Here is a 13,555-nt window from a genome sequence, read left to right on the forward strand (position 1 = left end):
CGCCTGTCGGGTTCAAGCGATTCTCGTGCCTCAGCCTCTCAAGTAGCTGAGATTACAGGCATGCACCACCATGCCCGGCTAGTTTTGTATTTTTAATAGAGACGGGGTTTCTCCATGTTGGTCAGTCTGGTCTCGAACTCCTGACCTTAGGTGATCCGCCCGCCTCGGCATCCCAAAGTGCTGGGATTACAGGCGTGAGCCACCATGCCCGGCCCAACTCCAAGATCTAAACAAAAAAGACTGGGTTGAAAGGGAGTTTTTAATGTTTACTGTTTGCTTTACATCCATTTTCTTGTTTTGTTAATACTTGCTTTACTTAAGCTTTTGGGTCAAATGTCCTCGTTAAAATGGCTTTCTCTAGCGACTTTATGTTTTACGTTTCTGTTTGTAACTGACATTTGACCTTCTTTTAACACGGTATTACTTGCTTCCTTATACCGGTTTCCAAGGTGAAGCCATTTGCAGGGTCGCTGGGTTTCCCCCTCCCCCCGAAAGTCTTGCGCGACCCGGGGTGGGCCGGATAGTGTGCAGTTTTTTGAGCCTTGGGCTGGGGACCTCCAGGAAGCTGAAGCGGAAATTGCCTAGGCCCCTGGGGCATTGGAGGTCCTACCGCAGCTCCTAGTAGGTGGTGGGGGCGCAGCGGCTGTCCCCACTCAGTCCTGGTGGGGTCGCACGTAACGGTCCTGAGCTATGCATAAGCCGTTTGACCACGCATGGAGAATTTTACCACCCAGAGACACGCGAGTGGCCCTGTGCAAGTTTCAACTGCGCGGGGGGCGGGGAATTCCGCAGACAGGATTCTAGAATTTATGTCTTGTGTGGTAACATTTCAGCCGGTGGGTGGCGGGGATTAGGCGTGAAGCGGTTCAGCAGGCAGAGGTTCTCGGACGCCCTCCGGCGAAGCCACCTGTTGATGCTTTTGACTTTCTGTCCTTGTTCCTCGTCCCATCTGGAGCATTTCCAATTCTGGTTTTGCGGAGCAGCAGGTCTGAGCTTGTCCGGCGAGGGTGGGAGTTGGTCCCGGCGGAGATCCAGTGGGAAGAGCCGGCGGCTGCCCGGGCGTGAGTAGACCGAGAATCCTGCCCGATCCCCGCCCCTGGGCTGGTGTCGCCCTGGGCTCCTGGGACGTCGGGGCACTGTCCCCCGATACTGGCAGAAAAGGATTGAGTCCTCGCTTTTGGCCCTAGGTCTCCTTGAGCCTCCAGAGGACTCACAACACTCCGGGGCATGTTGCTCTTTCAAATACCAGGAATGGACTCTGGGGAATGGGGCACCCTTGAAGTCTGATTATTTCTTCCCTGTAGAGCCCCAGGGGCTAATTAAACTCGTGTTTATGGACTCCAATGCCTCCTTGCCTTTAATTCAGTATAATCCTACCAACATTTATTGAGCTTCTCTGGGCCAGGCAGAGTTCTGGGTGCCGAGGACATAGAAATGGATCTAAACTTGGTTCTTGTCCCCATAACCTCACAATGTGGTTGAGGAAGACTCAGCAGTTACCTACACAGGTAACTTCGAGTCAAGGCAGTTTAGACAAGATCCACTGACAGCCTGACTGGAGGAAGCCTGTGGGCCATGGTGGGGCAGTTATGACACCATGGGTTCTTTTTGTTTATTTGTTTGTTTGTTTTGTCTTTTCTTTTAGTATGCCCAGGTAACTTGCAGAACCCGGTCGTTCTTTCTTACTATAGATCAGTGAGGTGAAAAGCACTATCATTATTGGAATGCCCTGTCTCTCCCTTATACTCTCTTCCTGTCATCTCCCCTCAGAAGACTTGACACCCCACCCTGGTGCCCTTTCTCTGTACTTTCATATGCTCAGCGGCTGTCTTTGCACTTGCTTCAGGATTGTACCTAACATTCTGTACTGTAATGCATTTTCTTCAGACACTCTTCAGTCAAGTTGTATTATAATTATGAGTTAAAATACATGCAAAGTAAATAGAGAAAACCTCCAGGGGTTCATTCCGTAGAGATAACCAAAGGTTTCAGTTTAATGTTTTTTTTTTTTTTTTCACACATGTGCGCTCTCAAATACAGTCTTTTACATATTTTTAAAAATAAACACTCAATTTTTTTGGTTTATTTTCTAGTTTGCAAGATATTTCATTTTTTAAAATTGTGTTTATTTACAACCTGCTTTTTTCTAAAAAAGATTCAAGGTGGGGCCTTCTTTTCTTTTCTTTTTTTTTTTTTTTTTTTGAGATGAGGTCTTGCTTGTTGCCCAGGCTGGAGTGCAGTGGTGATCATATCTCACTTCAGCCTCTAACTCTAGGCTCAAGCAGTCATCTCACATCAGCCTCTGGAGTAGCTGGAACTACAGGTGTGTGCCACCACACCCAGCTACATTTTTTTTTTTTTTTGAGACAGAGTCTCACTCTGTCACCCAGGCTGGAGTGCAGTGGTGCTATCTCTGCTCACTGCAGCCTCTGCCTCCTGGGTTCAAGTGATTCTCCTGTGAAAATTGCTTCCTTTTCTACACTTGTTCTGTATTTATGTTCCTCTGATGGTCTCCACTTCTAGCCACTTTCTTTTTTTGGCGATTTAAGTTTTTGGCCCAAATAGATAAACATCTTCTACATTATTTTTCTCTTATTCTCGATACTGGGTTGCCATCTTTGGTGATTTAGTACTTATTATGAAAGAGAGAAGCTACACCACTTGATACCACTTTCATCTGCATACTCATGATAATTTGTATCTTCTGCAGTGAACTCTTAAGTTGAAGAAATGAATAATTTATATGTATATTTGTATACTTTTAAAAATGTAATTGAAAAATCCTCTCATAGTTACTTAACTCCAAGGTTTAAAAATGCTTCCCAGGGTAATGAGTTTCTTTAGTCATGTGACTTTAGAAATGGGAACCAAAGCTTCCTTATCTACTTGTGAAATTCTTGAGTTTTTTCCTTGAACTTCCTTTTTATCTTCCCTTTGGCTTATATATCTGTGTTTTTTGTTTGTTTTTACTTGCAGCTTTCAAAAGTAGTTTTCAAAGTCAATGAGATTGTTTAAAAGAGTAGGTACCTGACAGTCTCTTGCTTGAATACTATCTAGTGAGTGAACCAAATTCCCTGCAACAATAACCACAACTTTGAATCAAGAGTTAAATGAAAAAAGTAACTCCTTCAGCATTTACTGAGCACCTGCTGGGGCTGAGGAATGGGGGCATGTAGATCTCCCTCTGCTGTCTGGAGCTCCCTTTCTGGTTGGAAAACATAGAAGCAGCGCAAAAGTTTCACCCAAAACCTTGGCCATGGTATGCTATTGAAACCCCATAGTTCAGATTTTATACTTGAGTTCTTTTCTAAGCCATGGCTGGATTATGTTAATCTGGCAAATAATTATAAAGCTGGATTATTTTAATCTGGTAAGTAATTATAAGGTTGTGCTCCGTGATGTAGCTATTAATAAAATATGTGGTAGCACAGACAAGTTGTATATAGCACAAAGCTATACCCCCAGAGGAGACACTATATCAGTTGCTGTCTGCCTAGGCTTTCTGTAAACGTGCTGGCTATCATTCAGCCTAAATGTAGAATGAGTCTATCCCTTTAACCTGGGCCATCACCAGGAATGTAAAGGAACCTAGAACGAGGACCCAGGCAAGAGATGAGAAACTAGGGGACAGATGAGTAGGTACCAGGGATGGTGATGAGACTGAAGCAAGTGGGGAATTTTTATTTTCTTCTCTACTTTTCTCTATTTTCCAGATTTTCTTAGAGCAAAAAGCAGGTAGTGCTTTTTACAGAAAATGAATGCTATATAAAAGTAATTTTAAGAACTTTATATATCCCTAGTGTTATGTACAATTTCTGACTTTGAATAGAGATATCTCCCAAAGGGCCAAGTTTGGCCCTTTAGTTACAATGGAGAATCTGTTGTGTAAACTGAGCAAATACACCTGCCAAGTTGAAATTTAATTTAAGCCAATCTTGTCTAGATGAACTTAAGAGAACGTCTCCTAAATATTTTATTGCAGTAGTGTAGCATGATTGATAGTATGCTATTCTCTTGAATAGATGGGGTTGTTTCTTGAGCCACTTTTTATTCCTTTGATCAAAACCTTGAGGAGAAGGAATGCCTGTTTTCCTGACTGCTGTTGCATGAAGTTAGACATCCAGTTCCTCTAAAGGTGACATCAGATGGTTTAGATACCTAAAAAGAAGTGAGGCTAAGCCATAGGTCTTCTTCGTACTACCTGAAGTTGAGACCTGGTCTCTGAACTCAGTTATTGCTGAAGCATTAAAATCTTACATCTTGCTTAAACTCAGGCAGCTTGACCTGTTCTCATTTTTCTCTATCAAATAAATTGAAGCCTGGTAATAAATTGATGATGAGTTCCAAACATCCCCTTGGTTGGAGACATTGTATTCTCCCCACTCACAATGAGGTCCTGCCAGTTTCCAGAAAATTTTGCATGGGGGCTTACCCATCCTTTTAGAATCACATTGCAAGTCACTCTAAAGCATTAGCATTGTTATCTCATGTAGCTGCAAAAGCTTCCTTTCACAAGCTCTTCTGGATCCAACAACCAGATTCCAAGTATGGTATCTTAACTACACCACCAGCTCCATCTTGCTTCATTGTATGTTATGAAGGGATGAGTAAGCGTTACACATGGGCTGCAATGGTCCAATGATGACCAGTCTGTTCAAGACCCAAGAGGGCTGAGATTGGCAGCCCTGGCCATTGTTTACCACAGCCTAATGAAGATGAGTAAAAGCCTATCTATCCCCAAGGACCTCCACATATGACAGTACTCAACTGAGTCTCACATAGGATAGAATAAGATAAAATGCTGGAAGAGAACACAAATAGTGCTACAAAGCAGGAAGAGAGACTTGATTTGGGGATCAAGACAAGCTTATAGAAGAGACATCTTGAGAGAGAAGATATAATTTCAGGTACAGACTGAGAGGAGGGAAGGGGCTTTCCAAATGGAGGCAAATGCTTGAGTGAAGTTGCTGGGACAGAAAAATACTGTCCAGGGAACATTGAGATATTTTTGGTTCGGAGTTAGATTATGGGTTGGGCTGAAGTGGGGATGATACTCTTAGTGCTTGAGCTATGTATCAGAAGTTTGTCTATAGTATTATGCACAATTTCTGATTTTGAACAGAGCTATCTCCTGCAGGACCACTCTTGGCCCGTTAGTTACAGTGGGCAATCCGTTGTGTAAGCTGAGCAAGTATACCTGCCAAAGTGAAAATTTAAATTTAGTTAAGGGCACTACATCAACTGATTTAGCTCCCTTGCTCCTGGTGACTTTGCCCATGTTTCTATATCCAATTAGATGATGATTTATGATCTTTTGATTTAGATGCTTTCTCATTTCTGATTCATTCTCATTTTCTGCAGCCTACACATAAGTGTTAGGAACCAAGGAAGTTATTGGCGATAATGTCTGGTTGGAATTTGTGGGAGCTTCCTTGAGAGTCATGAAAAGTCTGTTCTTAGTCTGTTTTGTGCTGCTATAACAAAATACCCACAACCAGGTAATTTATAAAAAACAAATTTATTTCTCACAGTCTGGAGGCTGGGAAGTCCAAGATCAAGGTGCTGACATCTGGTGAGGGCTGCTCCCCGCTTCCAATCTGGTGCCTTGAACACTGCATTCTACGGAGGGGAGGAATGCTGTGTCTTAACATGGCAAAAGGTGGAAGGGCAAAAAGAGAAATAAACTCCCTTTATCAGCCCCCTTTATAAGGGCATCTAATCCCATTCAGGAGGGAGGCGCCTCCAGGGAATGATCACCTCTTAAAGGCCCCACTTCTTAATCCTATCATATTGGCAATACCTGAACTTTGGAGGGGACACATTCAAACCATAGCAGCCTCATCAAATAATTTTATAAAATATGACTTCTAATTTTATGTCATTTTATAACTGGGATCATCTGTTGTTCTGCACGCCAATGGAGGGGGAAGGTGAATTTTGTTATGTTCAAGATGAATGCACAAAACTTCTGTGAGATGGCCACATTCTACTTTACCCAGAATTGTGCAACCTCTTCTGCTTTTAGAAACTTCTGGATGACACTTTGTTTCATGTTCATATCTCCACTGGGGCTTCCCAGACACCTGAAAGTTCAGGTTTGCATGCTGCTTTCTGCAGCTGGCAAGACAGGTTTCTCCATTGCCGCCCAGTTTGTGGGGTTGCAAGAAATTACATTTGCATTCACGCTGTGGCTCACTGGACATGACATTGCTTTCATGCCATACGATGACCTTGCTTCACTAGAGAAGCAGTAGAAAGAAGGGAATGTTAAGTACGTCTTTGGATGGCTTAGCTGGTCATGCTGCATGCTTTGCTACTGATTACAGGGAACAATATGTGCCTTTGTTACCAGATAGTTTGGGGGCAGCGTTGGTGTTCTGTGAGAAAGGTTGAGAGGCCTGACTAAACTTAACCACATTTGCTGACACCTGGTTAGGGCTAATGTGGGTACCAGGGAAGTGTGTTAAGTGCTTCAATAGAGGTGTTTTGTTTTGTTTTGTTTTGTTTTTCGAGACGGAGTTTCACTCTTGTTGCCCAGGCTGGAGTGCAGTGGCGCAATCTTAGCTCACTGGCAACCTCCACCTCCCAGGCTCAAGAGACTTTTGTGCCTCAACCCCTCGAGTAGCTGGGATTACAGACATGCAGCACCACGGCCAGCTAGTTTTTGTATTTTTAGTAGAGACAGGGTTTTGCCATGTTGGCCAGGCTGGTCTTGAACTCCTTGCCTCAAGTGATCCGCCCGCCTTGGCCTCCCAAAGTGCTGGGATTACAGGTGTGAGCCACCGCGCCTGGCCAGTTCAGGCATGAACTTTAGAAATTTCACTTAGATGGAAGGTAGATTTGGAGAGGGTGAGGTCTAAAGCAGGGGGAACAGAATGGCTAGGGGAATGAGTTTGGATGAGAGACGGATGGTAGGCACCAGCATTTAAGGGACAGGTGCAGAAAGAGTATGCTGAGGAGTAGAAGAAAGTTAGAGAAGGGTCTGTGTAGAATATAGTGGTGTGAGCTCAGCCAAGGGAGAAGAGTTTCAAGGAGGGATGAATTAGCAGTGTCAGCTGGAGTTGAGCAGTCAGATGAAAGAGGACTTCCAAGTTTTTGGATGTGGCAACCAGGAGGTCACCAGGGCCTCAACAAGAGCTGTGTCATCAGGGCTGGGATACTAGCAGGGGCAAACGAGGCACTGGCTTCAGGACAACATGTGAGGGGGTGCTCAAAAAGTCAGTCATCAAGATAGATAATATTTTAATGCAATATTTTAAAAAACAGACATAAATGCAAAAAATCTATGATGAACAAAATACCAACATTTTAAATAAAGACAGCGTCAGTATTGCTGATTGTCCCTTTTGCCTCAGATTCCAGTATGGCTCAGGACTGAGTGTGGCTGTGTAGAGGAGATGGTGGTGAGGGGATCCAGGTGGAGGCATGTTGAGAAGTGAATTGTGGTTGAAGAAACTGAAGCACTGAGTACAGACTATTCCTTCATGAGGTCCCAGCTTTATGTGAAAGGGAATAAAGTGAAAGGATGGTAGGTCTAGGGGACCCTCAGGCTTTTTTGAGGGTTTGGCTTTATTTTTTAAGATGGAAGAGACTTGCACATGTTTACAAGCTGGGAGGAGCCGTCTCTGGAGGTAGAGAGGATGAAGAGAGTAGACATAGGGGATTAGTAGAGACAGGAGGGCACACAGGGAGGCTTAGCCCTAGGCAAGCAGAGGGACAGGAGGGACCAGCTGGGGCAGTGGAAAGGTGGAAGGTGGCAGGAGTTTGTGCCTGATACATGGATGAGAAATGGCACTGGGGGTGGTGTTGGGATGGAAGAGAGTTGTGGAGTGTTGGAGGTTTCCCACACTCCTTGAAGGGTGTGGGAAAGGAGCTGAACAGAGTCTTCCTGTAAATGAAACTGTTGAGCAGCCGTAGGGGCCCAGCTCAGGAAACCACCAGGGTGTGGTGGTGAGTAGTTTTCAGATTGTGTTATCTCTTCTCCCTTCCTTCGGAACTTGCTACTGGAGGTGTAGGAGTGGTAGAGGCTTCCTCATTAAGGCAGGGGTGCTGGAGCGATCAACCATCCCTGTTTGCCTGGGACTGAGGGGTTTCCTGGGACTCGGTCACCCTAGATGTTGCAGGGCTGGCAGTCAGGAGGGAAAAAGGCCAGATAATTGAAAATGCTGGCCAGAGTTTGTAGCATGCGCTGTCTGATTGTTGTACCTGAGCGAGTTAGAGAAAACGCCACACTTTGAGATGAATTAAGAGTCCGTTTATTTAGCCGGCGGCCAAGAGACAGCTAACGCTCAAAGTTCTCTCAGCCTCGAAGAAGGGGCTAGATTTTCTTTTATACTTTGGTTTAGAAAGGGGAGGGGGGGGTCTAGTTAAAACAATTTTACAGAAGTAAAGTAGGCAAAAAAGTTAAAAGGATAAATGGTTACAGGAAAGTAAACAGTTCCAGGTGCAGGGGCTTTAAGACTATTACAAGGTGATAGACGCGGGGCTTTGGGCGTTATCAATCTGACGAATTCCTGAGAACTGCGGATATTGCTGGCCACAGTATCTTATCAGTTAATTGCATTCTTGGATGTGCTGGGAGTCAGCTTGCACAAGTTAAGTCCTTGCGGAAGGGCTGCCAGTGAAACAGCCAAGATGGAGTCTGTCTGGCTCTCTTAGCTAAGGGAGAGTCAATTCAGGTGAAAACAAGGCTAAGTGATTAAAGGAAAGGGAGAGTCTAAAAACAGCGTTAGTAAAAACAAGGTTGGGCATTACATGATCACTGGGTCTCCACTGTCAGAGGGTCTTTGAGCTCAGTTCTAGTGGCAGCCTCCTGATCCTCACTTCCCTGGCTGAGGCAAGGTTGTTGCAGCAGCCCCAGGAGTCTTTGTTAGAATCCCACCCCAGAGCTCCTTCCTCCAGTCCTCTCAGCAGTTTTGTTAGTTCCAGTATTAAGTGTAATTTCTACAAAAAATGCCTGGAATATTTCTGTTTCCAGAACCGGATGCTCCTGTTAGCTAGTGTGTGAAAGATAACTCTGACTTGCCTAAGCTTTGTTGATGTTTTGAATAATAATTGGCGATAGTCTCTTGACTTCTGCAAGAGAAATGAAACAGAAATTGGTCTCAAGTTTTAGTTGCTCTTGTGAAGGTCAGGGACAGTTTGTACCAGGGTGTGGGTGTGGAAAAGAAGGGGAGATATAGTCATTAAATTAGAATATGCCTGTGAGGGGAGTTAAGGGGAATTCCTTTAAAATTCTAGAAAACACACACAGGTGCCAATTTTGTCTGGCTAGGGAAAAGTAAACTGCTGAAAACACTTGGGGGGAGAAATGAAGCTAATGGTATCTTGATCAGTCAGGAGGATTGGGTATTTGAAAGCAGGGAAGAAAAATAATTGGACTTGGATATTCCTTTGCCCCTTCATCTGAGTAAGGTGAAAGCAAGTGACTCTTCAGAAGAGGCGAATGGGACACTGAGTCCAGCAGCTCAGGCAGGGTGGAGTTGGTAACTGATGGGCACAAGTCTTTTACTGGGCTCTAAAGAACTCATTCATCTGGGTGTGGTGGCTTACACCTGTAATCTCAGCATTTCGGAAGGCTGAGGTAGGAGAATCACTTGAGCCCAGGAGTTTGAGACCAGCCTGAGAAACACAGTGGGACCCTTTCCCTACAAAAAACTGAAGACCTTATGAGCTTCCCTAGTCTAAGAGTAATTTTTATGTTAATTTCTTGGCTTGGGCTTAAACCCCAACAAAGTGGTGATTATTCGGACCCCAGCCCTACCTCTCCCTAGTATGCTCTCCTTTCTCAAGTACTCACCACCTCTAGCCACAGTGAACTGCCTCCAGCATACACACACGCTGCTATTTTGTTGCATCTGAGTGGGCTGGCTCCACACGGGATCTGTAGTTTCCTTTTGATATTTTCTTTCAATGTGCCAGATGCTACCACTGAGTAATCTAGATTTTGCTGCCAAACTCTACCCCCGTTAGCACAGAGGGAAGACAGTATGCCAGTGCTCTTGCTGAGTGTGCGTGACTGGCAGAAAGCAGTCATGGGTGTGATGGTTGGAAGAAACAAACTGAGCAGATAATGTTTTTTAAAATGATTATCTCATTTTGTTAACTCTTGGTGGCATTGTTATATTGTTGATACTTATGAATTACAAAAGTTAGATGACTGTAAAAAAATAGAGAATTAAGCATTTCATTTCTAGTAGTTCTGTTTGGTTCTTTTTCAAATATGTCAGTGAATTTGTATAATATCTCATTTCTTAGTCTTGTGTTTAATGATTTTATTTTTGTGTTTTTATAATTCCTTCTACTGCATATATTTTATACTTTAATTTATAATAACAACTGTTGACAAAATTGTGACTATTCATTAATACAGTAGAAAAGAACTTGGCCTCCTTTTCATGGAAGCTGATGATGAGATTAAAGCACTGTTGGCCTGCGAGTGGAGTATAGATTTGGGCTGTCCAGAACACATAAAATTTGTATTTATCTTTCTGATAAAAAAAAGTAAAATAGTCTGAGTGCCAATTTTTCCACTTTCATTGAGCACATTTAATTTTAGTAAATTTAACTTAGCAAATTTAATTTCTCCAGTTATTTACAAATAATCATATTTAAGTGAAGTTGGGATGAATGGGCAAGCCCATTTCAAATTTCTAACCTAATTTTTCCTCTTGTTTTCATATAAAATTTTTCTATTTATGTGTTTTTATTTTAAGATAGCTCAAATCTTTTGTGGACTGATACTGTATGTATATAAATAAATGGATTCAGTGCTTCTTTCACTAAATACAGCTAGATAAATATATAAATATACTTGAACACAAATACAAAGCAACCATTGGCAATTTAGAGTTGGGTTGTGTTTCCACTTATTTTTTGTTAATAAATTTGATTTTAACCTGAAATATTGTCTTGTAGGAACAGATAAAGAACACAAGAGGTGATTTAACATAAGTTTTAGCTGTGAAACTTAGAGTAGATAGGTTAGCAACTTAAATTTTGAAAGAAAATAGGATGAGTTTCAATGGAAGAAATTAAGAACACACCCATTGCATGAGCTCCTTACCCCTCCTACCCAGCCCCCTCCCAGGAGTGAGATCTTTCCCCAGATCCTCTGTAACTTCCAGATGTTCCACTGAGAACATCAGAAGCACTAATGGCAATTGCTGCCATGTAGCAGTGCATTGAGAGTCAGGGCCTCTGGCACCTCCATGGGGCTCAGGGTCTGAAGACGTGATCCAAACCTGACAACTTGGTGGCAGGTTCTGTGAGCATTCATGATGTTGTGAAAAGGGCTTGGGGTCTAGGAGGATGGCAGCAGAGGTTTCTGCCCTCAGGTGTGAGTGAGGGGCTTTTGAAGTAGGAGAGCAACTAGAAAAAAGGAGTGGCACAGGGACAGAAACTTCTTTTCTCCATTGTTTGTTCAAGGCCACGTGGGTGGAGTCATTGAGGTGGAGGTTTAACTCTGTGACATAAGTTTCCCTGATTTAGTCAGGCTGTCTGTCGTTGGGCTTTTCCCACTTCCTTCTACTACGTACTTCTTCCCTATTCCTCCTACTGAGGCCATTAAACCCTTAGTTGTAATTTTCCCTGAACATGCTTTACATTCTGATGAATTCTGAAAAAGAATGTGGGGTTTCCTTGCAGATGAGTTCATCTGTTGTTTCATTTCCTTTACAATGTAGGTTTTCTTCTCTGTCTTTTTGGATTAGTCTGTTTTTGGTTCTGTCTACCAAGGATCCCTTTCTTTAGACTTCTATAGATCCCTTTCTATAGAACTTAATCTACTTAAGTCAGGGAGACCACCCAGAAGGAAAGAGCCCATACTTTCAATCTTAGGCATAAGTTAGCTTGATAAGATTTTCAGAAAAATTCCCTTTTAACCACAGAACTCCCCCACTGGAAAGGATTCTGAAAGAAATGAAGTCAGCCCTCAGAAATGAAGTTGACTGCCTGCTGGCTTTCTGTTGACTGGCCCGGAGCTGTACTGCAAGACCCTTGTGAGCTTCCCTAGTCTAAGAGTAGGATGTCTGCTGAAGTCATCCATCAGGTTGAAGAAGCACTTGATACAGATGAGAAGGAGATGCTGCTCTTTTTGTGCCGGGATGTTGCTATAGATGTGGTTCCACCTAATGTCAGGGACCTTCTGGATATTTTACGGGAAAGAGGTAAGCTGTCTGTCGGGGACTTGGCTGAACTGCTCTACAGAGTGAGGCGATTTGACCTGCTCAAACGTATCTTGAAGATGGACAGAAAAGCTGTGGAGACCCACCTGCTCAGGAACCCTCACCTTGTTTCGGACTATAGGTAATTCATCAACTCTTCCTGAGGCTGGGTGGGTGGGAGGGAGTGAAGTGTCTCAGACTCTACTGAATGGCAGAAACGAGGATAATAAGAAGTGCAGCCACTTTACTGTCTCTGCCCACTTATCCAACTGCCAGATGATGTCACTTCATTCCTGTGAGCCCTTTAAATTCTTGAAACTTGTTTTCTTGCTTTCTTTTTCTTTCTTTCTTTTTTTTTTTTTTTTTTTTTTTTTTGAGACAGAGTCTCACCCTGTTGCCCAGGCTGGAGTGCAGTGGCGTGATCTTGGCTCACTGCAACCTCCGCCTTCTGGGTTCAAGCGATTCTCCTGCCTCAGCCTCCCAAGTACTTGGGACTACAGGCGTGCGCCACCATGCCTGGCTAATTTTTTTTTGTATTTTTAGTGGAGACGGGGTTTCACCATGTTGGCCAGGCTGGTCTTGAACTCCTGACCTCAAGTGATCCACCTGCCTTGGCTTCCCAAAATGCTGGGATAACAGGCATGAGCCATTGCCTCCAGCTGAAACATGCTTTCTCAAAGGAATTGGGATCATATGCAGGTAGAAGGGCAGCTGGTATGTGTTTGCCTGAAGGATAGAATGACAAGACGTGAAGAAAGATAGGAATGACTAAGAGCTAGTCATTCTTGCCAGCCTCTGACAGTGTGAGATCTGCAGCAGTGTTTACTAGTTCATTTTCTGTGAAGTCAGTCCTTGATAATTTGTGGTACAAAGAAAGGAAATAACAAGTCTGACAGTAATCTTCCTACCTTTGTAGAGACTCCATCATCCCTTCTGAATCCCTGTTGGCCCTACCCTGCTGAGGAAGTTTATCAGGGTGGGCTCCCTTCCTGCACTTCCTGCGCTTGGAGACATTGGAGAGCCCACATTGAAAATCTCTTCAGTTAACCACATTTAAGTCCCTTCAGTCCAAAGAGGAAATGGCCACTGGAGTCTGCTTTAGTTCCCACAAGCTTTGGGTTGCTCCTTCCTCCTGTTCACATGTTAATGTCTTTAGAGGTTCAGAGGGGCATGGAAGCTACTGAGAGACTGACTTCCTGGGGAAAGGAAGATAACTTGTAACCTTAAGTTGGTGTTTTCTTTTTTTTTTTGAGACAAAGTCTCGCTCTGCAGCCCAGGCTGGAGTGCAGTGGTGCGATCTTGGCTCACTGTAACCTCTGCTTCTGGGTTCAAGTGATTCTCCTGCCTTAGCCTCCTGAGTAGCTGGGATTACAGGCACGCACCACTATGTC

The 13,555-nt window shown here is 43.7% G+C and overlaps 1 protein-coding gene across 40 annotated transcripts in view, besides 12 other annotated features; it reads left to right on the forward strand.

Moving 5' to 3' along the window:
* The window catches only part of CFLAR (CASP8 and FADD like apoptosis regulator), a 60,524-nt gene that overhangs the window by 1,677 nt on the left and 45,292 nt on the right, over window positions 1-13,555 (forward strand). For 16 of the 40 annotated variants that reach the window (XR_001739013.3, XR_007083713.1, NR_147251.2 and 13 more), the window contains exon 2: window positions 11,889-12,306. The exons of 6 other annotated variants lie outside the window; for them this stretch is intronic. Coding sequence is in view for 11 of the 34 variants with exons in the window: in NM_003879.7 (NP_003870.4) it covers window positions 12,026-12,306 (281 nt within the window). In the remaining 23 variants the exon portion in view is untranslated. Of the gene's footprint in view, window positions 1-875; window positions 1,062-1,187; window positions 11,681-11,888; window positions 12,307-13,555 lie in introns of those variants that run through there. 18 more of the 40 variants (NR_147253.2, XR_007083715.1, XR_007083684.1 and 15 more) reach the window with 7 other exon arrangements.
* Window positions 210-259: an enhancer, noted in NCBI's record as "active region_16975". NCBI's record gives its function as "activates an Ori minimal core promoter by ATAC-STARR-seq in GM12878 lymphoblastoid cells {active_cell/tissue: GM12878}" and the evidence as "EXISTENCE:reporter gene assay evidence [ECO:0000049][PMID:35858748]".
* Window positions 608-1,111: an enhancer, noted in NCBI's record as "H3K27ac-H3K4me1 hESC enhancer chr2:201983171-201983674 (GRCh37/hg19 assembly coordinates)". NCBI's record gives its function as "activates a minimal SCP1, AML or CMV promoter by ChIP-STARR-seq in naive H9 embryonic stem cells {active_cell/tissue: H9 hESC(naive)}" and the evidence as "EXISTENCE:reporter gene assay evidence [ECO:0000049][PMID:30033119]".
* Window positions 608-1,119: a biological region, named in NCBI's record as "H3K27ac-H3K4me1 hESC enhancer GRCh37_chr2:201983171-201983674".
* Window positions 750-1,119: an enhancer, noted in NCBI's record as "active region_16976". NCBI's record gives its function as "activates an Ori minimal core promoter by ATAC-STARR-seq in GM12878 lymphoblastoid cells {active_cell/tissue: GM12878}" and the evidence as "EXISTENCE:reporter gene assay evidence [ECO:0000049][PMID:35858748]".
* Window positions 2,228-2,287: a silencer, noted in NCBI's record as "silent region_12230". NCBI's record gives its function as "represses an Ori minimal core promoter by ATAC-STARR-seq in GM12878 lymphoblastoid cells {active_cell/tissue: GM12878}" and the evidence as "EXISTENCE:reporter gene assay evidence [ECO:0000049][PMID:35858748]".
* Window positions 6,349-6,572: a silencer, noted in NCBI's record as "fragment chr2:201988912-201989135 (GRCh37/hg19 assembly coordinates)". NCBI's record gives its function as "represses an EF-1alpha promoter that drives an FKBP-Casp9 reporter gene in an ReSE screen in K562 erythroleukemia cells {active_cell/tissue: K562}" and the evidence as "EXISTENCE:reporter gene assay evidence [ECO:0000049][PMID:32094911]".
* Window positions 6,349-6,602: a biological region, named in NCBI's record as "ReSE screen-validated silencer GRCh37_chr2:201988912-201989135".
* Window positions 6,553-6,602: a silencer, noted in NCBI's record as "silent region_12231". NCBI's record gives its function as "represses an Ori minimal core promoter by ATAC-STARR-seq in GM12878 lymphoblastoid cells {active_cell/tissue: GM12878}" and the evidence as "EXISTENCE:reporter gene assay evidence [ECO:0000049][PMID:35858748]".
* Window positions 6,841-7,342: an enhancer, noted in NCBI's record as "NANOG hESC enhancer chr2:201989404-201989905 (GRCh37/hg19 assembly coordinates)". NCBI's record gives its function as "activates a minimal SCP1, AML or CMV promoter by ChIP-STARR-seq in primed H9 embryonic stem cells {active_cell/tissue: H9 hESC(primed)}" and the evidence as "EXISTENCE:reporter gene assay evidence [ECO:0000049][PMID:30033119]".
* Window positions 7,712-7,861: an enhancer, noted in NCBI's record as "active region_16977". NCBI's record gives its function as "activates an Ori minimal core promoter by ATAC-STARR-seq in GM12878 lymphoblastoid cells {active_cell/tissue: GM12878}" and the evidence as "EXISTENCE:reporter gene assay evidence [ECO:0000049][PMID:35858748]".
* Window positions 7,712-8,011: a biological region, named in NCBI's record as "ReSE screen-validated silencer GRCh37_chr2:201990328-201990574".
* Window positions 7,765-8,011: a silencer, noted in NCBI's record as "fragment chr2:201990328-201990574 (GRCh37/hg19 assembly coordinates)". NCBI's record gives its function as "represses an EF-1alpha promoter that drives an FKBP-Casp9 reporter gene in an ReSE screen in phorbol 12-myristate 13-acetate-treated (for megakaryocytic differentiation) K562 erythroleukemia cells {active_cell/tissue: K562(+PMA)}" and the evidence as "EXISTENCE:reporter gene assay evidence [ECO:0000049][PMID:32094911]".

Source organism: Homo sapiens, chromosome 2 (genome assembly GCF_000001405.40).
Source record: "Homo sapiens chromosome 2, GRCh38.p14 Primary Assembly".
NCBI classification, from domain to species: Eukaryota; Metazoa; Chordata; class Mammalia; order Primates; family Hominidae; genus Homo; species Homo sapiens.